The following is a 17,809-nucleotide window of genomic DNA, read 5'->3' as shown; positions in this document are numbered from 1 at the left end:
GACTGCCTAGCACCATGGAGAAAGGGACCCCCTTTCAGAGCACAAACTCTGACCACAGAGGCCCTTGGTCTATCCTTTGTTTTACTCTAAACTTTTCTCAAAATAATCATGGATGAAGCTGGAAACCATCATTCTAAACAAACTAACACAGGAACAGAAAACCAAGTATCACATATTCTCACTCACAAGTGGGAAATGAACAATAAGATCACATGGACACAAAGAGGGGAACATCACACAATGGGGCCTATTATGGGGTGAGGGGCTAGGAGAGTGATGGCATTAGGAGAAATACCTAACATAGATGATGTGTTGATAGGTGCAGCAAACCACCATGGCATGTGTATACCTATGTAACAAACCTGCACATTCTGCACATGTATCCCAGAACTTAAAGTATAATAAATAAATAAATAAATAATGCTTTGTGAATCTGTACTTCTGGAGAAAAGCCCACACAACTCTGGGACATTAGTATGCATCACAAGTAAGATTTTAAAAATAATTTAAAAAGTATTATTTCTGTTTTTGTTACCTTGTCATTAAATAAGGTTTCTATCATCCTTGACCTCTCAAGATCAGTGATTTAGCTACATGTAAATGCCTTCTTGCATTGGATTCTTCTCATAAACCAGACTGCTCATTTCTCTCATGGTTTGGACCTTCTATGACTGCACATATATAGCTGCTTCAGAATAGAAAGCTACTTTCTCTCTTAGCAAGGTATGGCTTTTCCAATGTCCCCTCTTGCTTTGCCAAGCTGAATTCCAAAGTTGTGTTAAATCTCAGCTAAATCAGTGTATTTGCCTTTCCTGCCTATGGCATTAATTGCACTTTACCCATGCTATTATTTTCCATTTAACTTCTTAGACTTCCTAATTCCTTCATGTATTCTGGGATACCATTTGGATATGGAGATATTATGGAAATGATGTAGAAAGGGAATGAACTTCAGCACTCCAGGTCAGAGTTACTTGGCTACTTTTAAGCATTTTTTGCACCTTCTTTTTTGGTCCTTGGGAGCCTTGGACAATAAGCTTTACCCACTTACATTTCTGAATTCTACTTACATGAATCTGGTGCCAGAGAAAGTTCTTTGGTAAAGAATTAAAAGCAATGATCCCACTGTTTACAATCAGAGCTGGTGACTAATGAGGGTGCCTCTACTGACTCCTATCCCCATTGCTAACCTTCCTCAGAGGAGTAAAGTTCATTGAGACTGAGTATCCTCCAGACTCCTATTTTCTTCCACATAAAACCATACATTTTGTGAAAAAATTGGATCAGGAATTTTACTCTCTCAGGCATTAACTAGCAATTCACTTTAAGAAAAGTGCAAGGAGAGGGGACAGCATGAAAATTATAAGCTACCCTTTGGATGGGCTTATGAAAGGCCCATTTACTCACAGACTATAAGAAATGGAATGTGTATATTATCAAAAAGCAAACTGGAATCAGCCATGAAGTTGTGAATGTAAGAGAGGGGATTCTCCATCTTATTTTGTTTTTCTTTTTAACTTAAGAGCCAATTTTGCTAAGGAAGCCAAAATCCCTGTCTACCTGGCCCATCACACTCGGATGTATGTAGAAGGTAGACAGACAAGGCACATGACAATGGCACAGATGCTCTTGGGTTTATGTCTGTCAAAGGGGGAGAAATTGTTCTTTTAAGATCCAGATTTTGAAGGCAAATAAACCAAAATTTCAGTCCCAAACCCACCTCCTCCTCATTGTGTGGTCTTCAGTAAATTTCTGAAAATGTCTAAGCTTGGCTTTGTCAGCTAGAAAGTGGCAATAATCATTTAACCCGTAAGAACCAGGTCCTGGCTGGATCAGTTGGCATGCTAAAAAAAGGATAACTGAAGAGGGTTTAATCAAGAGTTCATTCAGGGTATGGACAAAGCTAAGGAACCCATTAGAAGCAGTGAGGCACCCAGGGACTAGAGGTGGTGAAGGCCATTCCTACCATCAGTCCTGTAGGGATGGGGGAGGTGGGAGCTCTTATCAGAGCACTGGGGAACCTGCACATGGGAGATACTACCCAGCAAGAGCTGCTTCATTGAGGGATGCTGCCACTGCCACTGCCACTGCCACATCACTGCCTGGCCAGGTCGGGGTGGAATAAACCCCACTAAGGCTCTTTCCTCTTGCTTTTCAATCCCATGGCAATGTGTTCCATTGGCTGCACTTGACATAAAGTCAGAGGACAAAGGAAGAGAGTGGCCAAGGAGGTGAGCTTCCTTTGCACAAAATCAGGTTAGAAAAGGATGAAGAGTGGATATGGAGGAACAAATAGATAATTTTCAGCATCTCTCTGTATTAGATGACTGTTGTTTGCCCAGTATCCCTTCTTTTGAGTAAATGCTATGCCTCACTCCATAAAACTTGAATGAGGCTGAAATAACATTTACCCCTCTCCAATGACCAGGACCAGAGAACTTCATCACCCTACCCTCTAGCAAATCAATCAAATTCAAATTTGAGATTTAATACAGGGTTTCTGGAAAATAGATAATCTCTTTTTCATTTGGATGTAGACTTGGGCCAAGCAACAGTCATCTTTCCAATTATACAGAAAGAACTAGCCTGACAGCAAAGACAATGCAAAAAGAGCACAGAAGAGTCCAGGAATAGGGAGAAAGAGGCAGGTCCATGGTGACTTTGTTTGAGGCCCTTTGTTTAATCGTATCTAAAGGCAGTTATGCTTTTTAACATTTCGGTAATATGCTTTTTAATATCCTATTTTGGAAGAGTGGAAAGGTTAATAAGGAAATGTGAAGCACCCAGAGGTTAGCAACAACAGAAAGTCTCTGTAATATCAGAAATGGAGCTCAAAGGGAGGCGGTGGCACTACGGGATTCTTTGAGTTGGGGCCTCAGTAGGACCTGGAATCATGGAGAAGGAACTGCTTAGGAAATGCCGAGGCTGCCAGGCTGGAAGCATGGCAAAGACTGCACAACAGGAACCGAAACCAGAGAAGAGATGCTACCTCAAGTACAGAGAGTGAGAAGAAATAGTCTGGCTTCTCCTTCCCTCCCACCCTTTGGATGCCCGCTCCTCTGCCTTCACTTAGCTAAATCTAATTGTGAGACTAACATTCAGAGCTGAGCAGAAAAAGGGGCAGGGTATGGCTTTCAGAGCAAATGAGTAATACACGTGGTCAGGACATATTCATTCTGTTTTCTTCTTTCCTTCCAAAATGCATTCCAAACTTTAGTGAAGGATACACAATTTTTTCTCAAATCTCAGAGAATGGGGGTCAGGTTATTTTCTGCTTAGAAACTTGAGTGGGTTACTACATAAGACAAGGCAATTTGGTCTGATATTCAAGTTCATTTAGACTATTGCCATAATTTATGGGCATGAAATAACATGATAGAAAAATGTAAAGGTAAATTGAAATCCAGTCACATTAGGCTACTTGCTCTTTTTGATTAGAGTATATTTTCCTGCACTTGCTAATAATATTCCTTCTGCCAGGCTTACCATCTTCTTCCCCATTTTTCTTTACTGAGATTTTATCTTCACATCACAAATTAAGTACTATTCCTTCAAGAAACATACTGGCTTGCCCAAACTTTGTTGTATCTCTCCCTTCTTAAACTCTTATATCATTCTCATGGCACTTAACACATTAGATCTTGTGTTTTAGATATTGAAATTTCTATCGTATGCTTTGATAATAGATTGTGGTTTCTGCAAAGGCAAAGAGTGCTTTCCTCAACTTTGTATCCTTTGGGGTGGGTTTAAATGATCTCTTATACCTACTAGGTGTTTGATAAATGTTTGTTGTAGCAGATGAACACCTGAAACAGTAACTCAGAACCTTAGGTTCTAGTATTTTCTATGTCACATTAGTGTGACTTGCAGAATGGCTCAGCTTAGCTTTTCCTATGTATAATGAGTTCAGACTAGATGAATTCCAAGGTCCCTCCTGGCCCTTTCAATTCCCTAATTTCAAGTAGAATTTGGAAGAAAAAATTTGTAAGCAGCAATTTTATAGTTCTATTATGGAATTTCTACTTGGGGAAAACTAACATTTCATGATCTCATTCTTGCTGGATTCTTTCTCAAGATTTTCCATGGAGCTGAAATTTACCCACGACCTTGAGAAAGAAATGCATGTGCTTCATGATCCTCACTCCACTTTCTTGTCCTTAATGCTTTTCCTCTGATGATTGCTCATTTCACACCCTAAAAGCAACTCATTTTATAAATGTTTTACAGTGCAGCAAGCAGTAAAGAATAAGAAATTACAAAATATTATATCCTATGAAGAAACATTGCTCCTAATACATCCACAAAAATCAAGCTCATAATTGCTGGTTTGTCAATTATAATGGTAAAATATGTATTTATATAATACATATGATATGATGGATGCTATTGGAGTGAGTTTGGCATATTTATTTATTTATTTTTTATGGTACTCATCCATGTTTCAAATTCAGGAACAATGGGAAAGTAATATATGAAACCTTAATAGGAAATACAATAGAGATCACAAAACACTACCATTTGATTTTTTATGCAAATACTTCAATATTCCAATATTTTTACTCACTTGCTAAATAAAGCACATGACTCGAAATGCTAAATAATTCAATTAGTCTAAATCTTTTAGATAAAATGTTGGTGAGAAACCAAAATTGTTTAGTAAGGTATGTATGACCTTGTTTATTATCTATCATAGACATCAAGATGATCATAGTTAATACCAATTTAAGCTTTATAGAATACTCTTTTAGGCCCAATATTGATATATTAAATGAAGGTATCAGAGAATCTTGTATTTATGGCATCAGGTTATAAAGATCTATTCAAAACCATTTTTGTCAAAGTTTAAACAATGGAACAAAAGTCAAATTGTTTCTAAATGAGACACAAATGATTCTTGCTAATAGTACAAATTTTGTCCCATGGGTAATACTATTGTCTTTTTCTTTTTTTAAACAATTATTTTGATTCTTTTTTAGATTCAGGGAACACATGGGCAGGTTTGTTAGCTGGGTGTACTGTGTGACGTTGAGGTTTAGGGTATGGATGATCCTGTCACCCAGGTAGTGAGCAGAGTCCACAGTAGGTAGTTTTTCAGCTCTTGTTCCCGCTCCCCACCCTACCTCCCCAGTGTCTGTTATTCCCATGGGTCCTCAGGTTAATAGTAATCTATTTTCAAGTTTTTTTCTTTACATGAAACTACTGAAAGCAAAAGTATGTCACACTTATAGGTTACTCTGTACATTTATCATTCTATTAATAAACATCTTAAGTAATTAAGTAGTATATTAAGGCCATAAACCAAGTCATTATCTCCTATCAAAGGACTACTGTTATTCAATCATCTAGAAAATTCATTTTAGGCAGGACACAGTGGCTCACGTCTGTAATCTCAGCACTTTGGGAGGCCGAGGTGGGTGGATCATGAAGTCAGGAGTTCGAGACCATCCTGACCAGCATGGTGAAACCCCGCCTCTACTAAAAATACAAAAATTAGCTGGGTATGGTGGTGTGTGCCTATAATCCCAGCTACTCAGGAGGCTGAGGCAGGAGAATCGCTTGAACCCGGGAGGCAGAGGTTGCAGTGAGCTGAAATAGTGCCATTGTATTCCAGCTTGGGTGACAGAGAGAAACTCTGTCTTAAAAAAAAAAGAAAATTCATTTTAATGGGTTATATTACAGGGTTGAGGTCAGCCTACAGACACAAAATAGGTTAACTGAATTTTTTTTTTCATAACAGGTTTTAATTTTTTCATTGGAACAGGTTTTGGGGGTGGGGATACTAAATGTGGCAGGGTTCAACAAATTTACATTTTATCAAAATAAAGTTCTTAAAGAATACAATGATAGCATATGCTTTAACTCTTATAGCACAAACCCTCATATTAATTGATGGTCACAGAAAAATACTGTAATGCTTTAAACAGAAGTTTTAAAATACATCAATGACACAAGTTTCAAACAAAATGCAGTGATCAAAATACTTAACTGTCCTTTCATAAAGCTTTTAGAAACACAATCAGTCTTCGCTGTCTGAGCAAATCAGTTTTAGTTTCTTCATGGTCCTCCATCTGTCTTTTAACATGACACTTGTCCGGTTGTTGAATTTATAATGCAGTAGTATTTTAGACCAGTTTCCCTCTCCATATTTCCTCACGCCAGATCTCAAATTCCTGTCTTCTTCCCAAAGCCATGACTGTCTTTTTCTAGCTCGATGTTTTTCAGGAGTTACCGGTTGCCTCTTTGAAACAGTTATTCTGCTTTCAGTGGCTCTTCTGCTTTCTTTTTTCTTTCTTGTACTTTGAGGAGTTCCTACTCTTCTTTCTTTCTTATTAAGGTCTTGTTGCTGGGTTCCATGTTGCAACTTAGATAAGAAAAGATTCTTGTGAGACCTTTTTCTTGTATCCAAATTAGCTTCAGTTTCCATTTCAACATAATTACCATTAGGTTTATCTTGAGAAGTTATTGTTCTTGTTCTTTTACTTTCTACTACTTTTGCTGCTACCTTCATTAGAAAGGTTGATGATTTTTCACTTAGCACATAATTCACATAACTCTTAATTTTCTCCATCATGTGGTTGTAGCTGAAGTGTTGAAAAAAGGAATGAAATGTATCTTTCTGAGAGATTATCACAAGCAATTTGCTTTTGAGAGGCATGTAAGAATTTGGATCACCAAATATTCTTTCAAAGACTTCTTCTGCTTCTTTAAAGTTGCCATTTTCCATACAAACAGCTATAGCCTGAATTTTAATTAAATTCTGTATTTCTTCTTGAACTTTGTCATGTTCCTTTTCAATTGAACCCCAAATCATCAGGGCTGATTCCAAGGGTGTAATTCGTTCATCATTTTCAAACTGTGCATCAAGGGTTTTTCCTGCTGCAATTCTTGTCAAAAACTGACATACGTATATCATTCTCAACTGGTAAGCTGTTAGACTGGATAGTCCATGAATAGTAGCCTCTGCGCTGTTGCGGGTCCTGCAGAAGTCCTTGGAGCGGTCGTCGCGGAAAGCTCGGCAAAGAGAGAGGCAGAGGAAATCGAGCATCCAGCCGGCAGCCACGGCCTCGGCCTCGGCCACCAGGCCCGCGTCCTCCTCCTCCTCCTCCTCCTCGGGGGCCCCCACCTGCACCTGGCACTTGAGCCGTTCCTGGCATTCGAACTGCTCCTCATCGTTTCTCTCTGTTTCTGCCACCTGCTTCTCGGTAGGGTCGGCATCCCTACCATCCGCCGGCATATTTATTAAAATTTATTTTTATGAAAAAAGATTTAAAAAAGAAATGTCTGCTCTAAGCAGTTACATGAAAATGGATAAATACAAAAGCAAGCACAAGAGTATTCAGTAGAGAATTGTGAGCCTGAACAATCAAGTTTCAGGCAAATCTTGTGTGGTTCATAATTTTAGCCCTTTATTATGCAAACCTGCCAATTCGATTTCCCAATTCAAGAAATGTTTGGGGTGATTATCAAGTTATATTTACTGTTCTGTGGACCTACTAAAATATGCACCATCTTGAAAGAGTGTTCAAATTACCTTGGAACACACTTTTAGATCCTCTTTTGTAAGCAAAAGTTGACAGACTAAAATGTATTCTTTCTTAACTGGCATCAGCATGTGAGACTTTAGAAAAGTTGGTAGAGCAAGTAATGATTCTGTTGCAGAGCTAGACAAATACCTTCCAAATCAACAAATTCAAACAGAGAAAAAAAGTTGCTGATCTTAGATGAATTGCCACATGTTGCCACTTCCTTTCACATGTGTCTTGGTAGAAAAATTCTCATATAGAATTTTTCCCACCCATCAGAAGAAAGTAGTTATTATCTCAATTTCCTATCTCTTCTTCTGCATCTCACCTTCTGAGGAGATAAATATTAGAATCTCAAAGTATCCACTGCTAAAACCCAGACATAAGGGGTTGAGATGCAAGTTGGAAAAACTGGGAAAGTATTAAATTCTGGACCTCTCTTCCCCCTCTGGCTTCTCTCTCATCTCTCTCACTCTGTCTGTCTGTCTCTCTCTCTATCTTCCTTCCTCTTTCTAAAAGAAGACCTTGAAAGAGTTTTATGTATATGCAGAATCAAATTTCTCTCCTCTCTTCTTCTCTCTTCAGTGCACTCTGTCCAGGCTTCTGTTGTCATCCCTCCACCAAAACTGTTTTAGTCAACATCGTCGATGACCTCAATGCTACTAATACCAAAGTTCTAGTTTCAAGCTTTGTCTAACTCAACTCTAGCAGCATGAAACACAACTTATTACTCTCTACTCCTTGAAGCATTGTCTTGTCTTCCAGGAATACACACTGCCAGTGTTCCTTCTCTTATTGCCTGCTCTTTTTCAAGGTTCCTTGCTGGCTCCTCTTTTTCTTTCTGACAAATAGAAGTATTTCATGGCTCAGGCCTTGAAACTCTTCCCTTATCCATCTAACTATCCATTCACACTCACTTTCTTCATGAGTTCATTTAGTCCTGTGATAACTTCTAAATACATAACTTTAGTCTCAGCCTCTTTCCTGAGATATAGACTCAGAGATCCAGCTGAGTACCGGATGTCTCCACTTGAATGTTCAATGGCCATCTCAAAGTCAACATGTCCGGAACCAAGCTTCTATATTCAATCCAGCCTCCCCAAATTTGCTTCTGCTCAGCCTGCCCCAACTCAGTGGATGGTGATACCATTGATCCAGTCAGGACTAGGACAAGAGTGAAGTAAGCCAACCACTTAGGCACAAACTTTAAGGCATTCAGAGCATCAAGGAAGTGCTGACCTTGCTTTTGCATGGCTATGCAAGGGCCTCCTTAAATTGTATGCCCTCAACATCTCACTTGGCTCACCCTAGTAGCAGCCCTGCTTCTTCTTGCTCAAGCCAAAAACTTCAGCATCATCCTTTATGCCTCTGTTTCTCTCACTGTCTCTTCCAATCTACCAGGATATCCTATTGGCTCTACCTTCATTAATATTAAAGTGTTTGATCCAGTTATTAAAGAAATAATTAGATATATCAAAAGTAATGGAGGAGTTATTATAAAAATATAATTCTTGTCCTAAAGAAGAAAAACCAAAAGTCTGCTCTTATTTTCACAAAGGCAGGGAACTAATAGATATACTGTTTCAAGGTGTTTAAAAAAATTAATAGACTTTGATTTTTAGACCAGTTTTAGGTTTTCAGAAAATGTGAGCAAAATATATGGGGTTCCTGTAAACTCTCGTCCCCGACCAGCCTCTGGTTTTTCCTATTGTTAACATTTTGTGTTGGTGTGGCACATTTGTTACAACTGATGAACCAATATTCATGCATTATGATTAACTAACATCCACAGTTTATATTAGGATTTAGTCCCTGTGTTGTACGGTTCTATGGGCTTTGCTAAATGCATTATGTCATATATTTCCCATAACAGTATCTTAAAGAATAATTTCACTGCCCTAACAATCTTCAGGGGCTTATTTCCCCTCAGCTAGCAGTGACATCTTTAGGTACAAGTACACACCACCTATAACAACTTAATTTATTGCCTTCTAGGCAAGCCAGGGCAGGGACTAAGGACAGTGACAATGTCTCCTATCTTCCATTCAGGAGCCTGTGTTTGGTGCAGAGCCCAGGGTTCCTAGGTCCAGCCTATATGCTCCAAAGGTGGTTTCCTACACTCAAAGACAATGAACTTGCAGACACATCACAAACGCCGGGTGCTCTGCAAAGCTGTCCTGATTTCTCCTAGCAACATGAGTTGCCACATTTTCTTTACTCTAAGGTGTCAGGCACATGATCATGGTATTCATCAGGCTGTCTGATCCTCTGATTATATGTCAGTCTCCCAGACTAGATCAGGGGCTTTTCAAGGGCAGAAGCTCTGTCTTAGTCATCTGTGTCTTCCTCAGGGCCTGTACTTGCCATTTGTTGATGATATGAAAAGAGTTGGGGTTGTCAGGGGGAGGAAGAAGGATAGTGGAATGAATAAAGGGAAAAGAGGGAAAGAAAAAAGACAGGGAGATAGGGAAGGTGTTTGTGCCCATGCCCTTGGTCACAGGTCACTATGGGTGGGCACAGGTGTTCAGCACCAGAATGACAGGAAGATGAGTAAGAGAGGGCATCTCTGAGTCAGGGCTGGTGCATTTCTCACACACAACAATCCAGCCACATCACTGACGAATCTGGGATGTTGTACTTTTCCCCACCAGCAGCCCTAGTTGCACATGACAGGCTATTGCCTGCTATTGCACTGACTTCATATAGTCCTAGGACCTCAGGGTTAATGAGTTCTCAGTTACGTGGAACAGCTTTGTTTGATAGGTTACTCTAGTTTTATATGTAAGAAAACTTGATGTTCTTATATTATTTAATATATTGATTTGCTACGTTGTATAAAAAGACAAATAAATGAGACTTCTTTAAACTGTCTTAGAAGAAGTCTCAAGTCTCCTGTGGCTCTCAAACCTCAGTGTGGACAGGCAGTTCATGACATTTGTTGTCCATAGTGTACTTGTTTGGACAGTTTCTCAATTTCCAAACAGCAGTGATGTTTTTTGCAACAAATAAATTACAAAACAAAATATTTCATGTTTTGTCCTCCCTCTGATAGAAATCTTTGTGGTCCTAAACAATTAAAGCTCCTTAGTTTAAATTGGAAGTATTATTAAGGAAAGTTGAAATTTTATGAAAGTGATTAAATTGAAGATTCAAAAATGTGTCTACATTTGGGAATATTGATTATGACTTTAATGTTAACTTTTTTGATCTGATACCATTTCCAAAAATTTAACCTACAGAAATACTAAAACATATGTGCAGTTATAGGTTAAAAGAATATGATGAAATTATTTGCAGTAGGACAAAATTTAAAACAATTCAAATGGTTTTAAAAGGGGATTAAATAACTATATTTAATGATGAGTAAGTAGTAGGTTAAAAAATGAATTATTTTGAATAATAAGAAAAATAAAGATTCTAAGATACGTATTCAGTGAAGAAAGTTTCAGGATCACATGTTTGCTATTATTTCATTTTTGCAAAACAAACCAGAATAAAACCAAAAGCTACACAGGCATGCGTGCACGCACACACACACACAGCGCAAGACACTTGTGAATTGAAGGGGGTAATGTTAATATTCACACAGGAACCATCAGCATGATATAAGAGTGTCAAGAAAACCAGGATCTATAACCACCTTAATTTAATGGACTTTATATTCTGTATTATACCTTACTATCTGTAAGAATAAAATTAAATTTTCCATACTTAAAGTATCTATAAAAAAATTGAGTAAATTGTAATCTTGGATCTCAAGTCCAGTTCCTCTAGATCTCTCAGAACTATCTCCCTTCATTTCAAAGTTCATGGATTGATTTTTGGTTTTCCTAAAATGTACCACTGTATTTTAAATTTACACATCACCAGGTCATTCTTTTTTCTTGTTCTCTTACTATTAGAACATACATTTAACCCCTTCTGACAATCTAGTCATTGTAAACCTCCCAGCTTTATCAACTGTCATCTTCCAAGTACTCACAGTGCAGATTTCTGGTATTACAATGGCCTTAAATTTTTTCCTTTGGATTTTTTTGAAAATAAATTACGGTGTCTATTTACATGGATAAAGAGTGACCACTGTCTTTGGCTGGTTCCTGTTGATAATGAGGTCAAGGCAGGGGCCTTCACTGAATTCCCACATGTGCTTGGTTGCAAGCCACACTCAGGTGACAGACAGTCTTGCAGTTGGTGCTGCTGGTCACATGAAGACTGGGAAAGAAAGTGCATCAGATCAAAATAAACTTATTTCTCTTGCAAAAAATAACAACTCGAGGCACATGCATTATGAATATTGGGTCAGAAGCATTATCTTCATATTCAAAGACTAGCATATAATTATCAAGAACAGAAATGTAAAGAACATAAACAGCTTGATGATAGAATTGGTACACGTTTATTATTAGAAATTCTATTTGAAATCCAGAGAAGAGTAACTGAACGGAGAAAAACACAGATATTAGATGACAAAGCATATGAGAAAATTTCAACTTTTTTTTCCAATTGAATTTAACAATGTTTTACTCCATAGTTGACTGATTGATTTGCCTCTGCCGGGATGTAAATTCTCAGAGATATTCTTTCTGCTATTGTGCCAATCTGTGACACAGCTAGCCTAGGATTTATATGCTGTGCTTGTCAATATCCTTCAGAAATGCCCAGCAGAACACAGGCACATACATTCTCCTTCAGCAAACACTCATGGAATGTGAAATCAGACTTCTACTAGTACTGACTCATCTGGAGGGCTTGTTATGAGGCCACATTCAGTATGAGGCAAAGGTTGTGAAGTTTGCATTTAAGTTTTTAAAAAGCTATGTATAAAAAGTGGCCACCATGATGATTAAACACATTATATTGTACGCTTATAAAATTTGAACAAAAACCACAAACTTCAATGACAATAAGTAATTGGTCTTACTTGGTCTGCTCATTCTGAAAAAACTGAGTCTTGTCCTATGCAACAGGGCTGGAACAGTTGCAACATGCATCAGTTGGAACATGTTTAGAAGCTAATGGATAGCATTGGTTTACATTTCATATAAGACAGAGTAAATTAAGGACACATTTCTAGTATCTTCAGATATTCAAACAAGTAAATATTTCATATATCTCAGTTTGCTCCATTGTCAAACACATTTTCATTTTGATAAAAATGTCGCAAAAATGCCTTAATAATCTGTGCTTTGGTGAGGGAAATTTGGAAATAATGAACGTGAGCTAATCCTCTCTTTGTGACTGAAGGGTCCTCACATGAAATCATCACCTTTGGAGCTGTGCTTTTATAATGTGATGCTCACTGGATTTTTGAGATATAATGCCTGTCCCTAAACTGAATTGCCCCAAACTGCTTTATAGTTGTTGATTTCACTACCAGTGTCCTCTCCTTCACTCTTTTATTTATTTATTTATTTATTTATTTTTTTTTTATTTTATTTTATTTTATTTTTTTATTGATCATTCTTGGGTGTTTCTCGCAGAGGGGGATTTGGCAGGGTCACAGGACAATAGTGGAGGGAAGTCGCAGTGGGGGATTTGGCAGGGTCACAGGACAATAGTGGAGGGAAGGTCAGCAGATAAACAAGTGAACAAAGGTCTCTGGTTTTCCTAGGCAGAGGACCCTGCGGCCTTCCGCAGTGTTTGTGTCCCTGGGTACTTGAGATTAGGGAGTGGTGATGACTCTTAACGAGCATGCTGCCTTCAAGCATCTGTTTAACAAAGCACATCTTGCACCGCCCTTAATCCATTCAACCCTGAGTGGACACAGCACATGTTTCAGAGAGCACAGGGTTGGGGGTAAGGTCACAGATCAACAGGATCCCAAGACAGAAGTTTTCTTAGTACAGAACAAAATGAAAAGACTCCCATGTCTACTTCTTTCTACACAGACATGGCAACCATCCGATTTCTCAATCTTTTCCCCACCTTTCCCCGCTTTCTATTCCACAAAACCGCCATTGTCATCATGGCCTGTTCTCAATGAGCTGTTGGGTACACCTCCCAGACGGGGTGGTGGCCGGGCAGAGGGGCTCCTCAACTCCCAGTAGGGGCGGCCGGGCAGAGGCGCCCCTCACCTCCCGGGCGGGGCGGCTGGCCAGGCGGGGGGCTGACCCCCCCACCTCCCTCCCAGACGGGGCGGCTGGCCTGGCGGGGCCTGATCCCCCACCTCCCTCCCGGACGGGGTGGCTGCCGGGTGGAGACGCTCCTCACTTCTCAGACGGGGCGGCTGCCGGGCCGAGGGTCTCCTCCCTTCTCAGACGGGGCGGTTGCGGGGCAGAGAAGGTCCTCACCTCCCAGACGGGGTGGCGGCCGGGCAGAGGCGCTCCTCACATCCCAGACGGGGCGGCGGGGCAGAGGTGCTCCCCACATCTCAGACGATAGGCGGCCGGGCAGAGACGCTCCTCACTTCCCAGACGGGGTGGCGGCCGGGCAGAGACGCTCCTCACTTCCCAGACAGGGTGGCGGCCGGGCAGAGGCTGCAATCTCGGCTCTTTGGGAGGCCAAGGCAGGAGGCTGGGAGGTGGAGGTTGTAGCGAGCCGAGATCACGCCACTGCACTCCAGCCTGGGCACCATTGAGCACTGAGTGAACGAGGCTCCGTCTGCAATCCCGGCACCTCCGGAGGCCGAGGCTGGCGGATCACTCGCGGTTAGGAGCTGGAGACCAGCCCGGCAAACACAGCGAAACCCCGTCTCCACCAAAAAAATACGAAAACCAGTCAGGCGTGGCAGTGCGCGCCTGCAATGGCAGGCACTCGGCAGGCTGAGGCAGGAGAATCAGGCAAGGAGGTTGCAGTGAGCTGAGATGGCAGCAGTACAGTCCAGCTTCGGCTCGGCATCAGAGGGAGACCGTGGAAAGAGAGGGAGAGGGAGACCATGGGGAGAGGGAGAGGGAGAAGGAGAGGGAGAGGGAGAGCCCTCTCCTTCACTCTTATTTTGCATTTCAGTGTACCAAATTTACAATGTTTTTGTTGGTTTTGTTACCAACAGAAACATCAGGTGAATTAAAAGATACCGAGATAAGTACTCATCAAACTAAAAAGTAAATGCAATTAGATGTTATTTTTGCCAGAGGGTGGGTGGGCAAATTTACCATAATGCATTGCATTAGTTATCAGTATGGAGCATGCTTCAGAGTCATCTGGAAGGCTTGTTAAAATGCAGGTTGTTGGGTTCCACCCCAGAGCTTCTGATTCAGCAGATCTTGGGTGAGGCCTGAGAATGTGCATTTCTAGCAGTTTTCCAGTGGATGCTGCCCATCTGAGGACTACACATTGAGAGCTACTTGCTGCAGAGAAAAGTGGAATGGGGACAGTTTAAAGAATCAGTAAGAGTTTAAGGTTTCAGGAAATGTTTGGAAGTCTGCAAGTAGAAAAAGGGGAATGTTAATTTTCTCTTCACATAGTGGGCATTACATTTATGGAACTCTAACACAAAGAGGGAGAGCTGTGGGAAAAAATCAAGGGATTTGTCTGAAATGATAGATTAGAGTTACATGTTAGTTCACAAAATGATTTTGGGAAGATATTTTAAATAATTCCAACACTACAAACTAATACCACATCGGGCAACCTCGCTCTCCAAAATCCTCTCATGTTGCTTTTGCACTAGGCTGGCCTGGATGGAGCATTGGTTGGACCCCATGTGGCATTCCTAATGTCTCTATATTCTAACCCATTGGTTGCCAATAAAGTGCTTTGCCAACAGATTTTGTTCTGAGATAGTGCACAGCGCTGAAGAGAAAATAACTTTGCAAATCCAGTGATTTCATGGGCCACTAGGCTCTCTGGATTCTCTAATACCCAGTTTATCTTTTGTTCATTTAATGCATCGCAAACAACATTGAATTAGTTTGTTGGATGATTAGGTAAGACATTAAACTAACGGTATACATATAAATATGTCAAGTCATTATTTTAAGAGTACATCTGTAAGTCATAGTTGGAGAAGTCATTTTCTTGTGAACCCTGTAAAGGCTTTTCCCCACAACTCTAATAGGTCAACAGGTACCAACTTTTATAAATAATACTTCTTTTTCAGAGGTGTTCACAAGTGAGAAAAATAATTTTCTATAATGGATGTTTAAAAAAATCAGTTCCAAGGAAATTAATTCTTGTAAACCTCCCAAAATAAACATCAGGAAATTAAATTGGTGTTGGTTTGTTAGTAGAATGAACATCCCCAAAGAAATCCAAGATTGCAAATGTTTTAGCTCAGACCTAGTTTCTAGTCTCTGAAAGAGCTATGACCACCTACAGCCTTCCTGCAGCTTCACCATTGCCTTGACTTTCAGCACGAATCCTGCAATGATGCTAAGGAGATTTACGTGACTACGTGTCTGCCAGCTGTGGTTTCATCATTTTTCTTTGTCTCTGAGCTAATGCAGAGACAATACCCTGGGTCTGGTAAGTGGATCTCAGTCTGTTCCTTAGTCTCCTCTCCCGGCACCCAAGTCTGATTTCTGAGCTTCAGCTTGATCCTTTTTTGTTACCTGTCATTGTCCTCAGGAAGGGGTTCCCCAGTCCTGGATCCTGGACCATTGTCTTGGACCCTCCTCTGAAATGACAAATATTCCTAATTCCAATTTGCTATCTTTCTTGTAAGGATAAATTGTCTTGTACTGCATCCGTCTGTTTGGACAGGTCAACACTTCATTTGCCACCCTTCGTGGATATCTACTTACCTGCACTACAACCTGCTATCACTCGATCTTGTTGGACACACTACTGTAGTCTTGCTTTACATCTGTGATGGAATCCATCCATCCGGATCCTATGCAGTAATAGAGCCTTTTCTCAAATCCCAGCCCTTTCTCATCTGAGCTACATGACAATAAGTAATTGCTCTTACTTGGTCTGTTCATTCTGAAAAAACTGAGTCCTTACTGAGTGGAGTTTCATAAGGACTGAGTTCTTATGGAACCATGTTATGCATGGGAATGATGGACATGAACAAGGTACAATTTCTCTCTTGAAGAAACTCATTCTTTTTTTTTTTTTTTTTTGAGACAGAGTTTCACTCTCTCACCCAGGCTGGAGTGCAGTGACATAAGCTTGGCTCACGGCAACCTCTGTCTCCTGGGCTCAAGCGATTCTCCTGCCTCAGCCTCCTGAGTAGCTGGGATTACAAAATTAGCCTGCCACCACCATGCCAGACTAAGTTTTTTTTAACTTAGTAGAGACAGGGTTTTGCCATATTGGCCAGGTGGGTCTCCAGCTCCTCGAGTGATCTGCCCACCTCAGCCTCCCAAAGTGCTGGGAGTACAGGCATGAGCCACCGCACCTGGTTCATTTTTGATGACAGAGCAAACAAGCAAACAATTGAAATGCAGGCTGAGTATTCCTTATCCAAAATTCTTGGGACAAGATGCATATTGGATTTTTAAAAAATTTTTCAACATTTGCATTAAACTTACCGGTTGACACCCCAAATTCAAAAATTTGAAATCTAAAAAGCTTTAATGAGCATTTCCTTTTGAGTATAACCTTTGAACATTATGTCAGCATTCAAAAAGTGTGAATTTCTGATTTTTGGATTAGGAATGCTCCTAATCCTATACAATACTTTAACCATACATTCTGAGAACCTTTCTCAAAAGTGTATAGTAGAAGAGGTCAGACAATCGTCCTCCATAAACATTCATTCTATCATTTGCTCAAACCCCACTGTGTTTCAGGCATTTTGTTAATGTATCGGGAATGGACCCAGAGGGCCTTTCTGAGAATTGTGAGTTAGACCCAGGTACTCACCCAGGGCCAGATCATCCTTGACCTTTTGCCTTCAAATACCAATGATAATTTGTCTTGTGGTCCTAAGATGTTAATCGGAGCTGCTTATAATAGACAGCCTCTGAAACTGTCTTCTCTCCCCGGTAGCCCCAGATGGTCTACCCTGGACCCTGATGACATTAGGTTGGGGGATTGTAAGTGCAGTCACTTTGTTGCCAGGTCCACTTTCTTTCCAGAACCTCTGAATCAAATGTCAGCCTGTTTTCATTGTTCCCTACCTGATTAGCTGGAGCTGGATATACTGAAGGAATGAAAGTTTTCTGAGCTGACTGCACTGATAAACCTAGAAGGAGACCATAGTGATAAATGCTTCATAATTTTCAGAAGTCAGCATTAACTGCTGAGTAGCAGAGTGGACTTAAATTTGTGTTTTCAGTGGAAATGATCACCGTGATGTCCTTACTGCCTCCTAACTCATGAAAGGAACAACTGGCTGGTCCCTGGAACTCCCTGCGTGACTGGTGATTGCCCATGGACTTCTAAAACACTCTTTACTCTGA

The 17,809-nt window shown here is 40.4% G+C and overlaps 1 pseudogene; it reads right to left on the bottom strand.

Annotated features, from left to right (window-relative positions):
• Window positions 4,421-7,228, bottom strand: TERF1P5 (TERF1 pseudogene 5; annotated as a pseudogene).

This window comes from Homo sapiens, chromosome 13, assembly GCF_000001405.40.
Source record: "Homo sapiens chromosome 13, GRCh38.p14 Primary Assembly".
NCBI lineage: Eukaryota > Metazoa > Chordata > Mammalia > Primates > Hominidae > Homo > Homo sapiens.
This window is presented reverse-complemented; position numbering and strand designations above follow the sequence as displayed.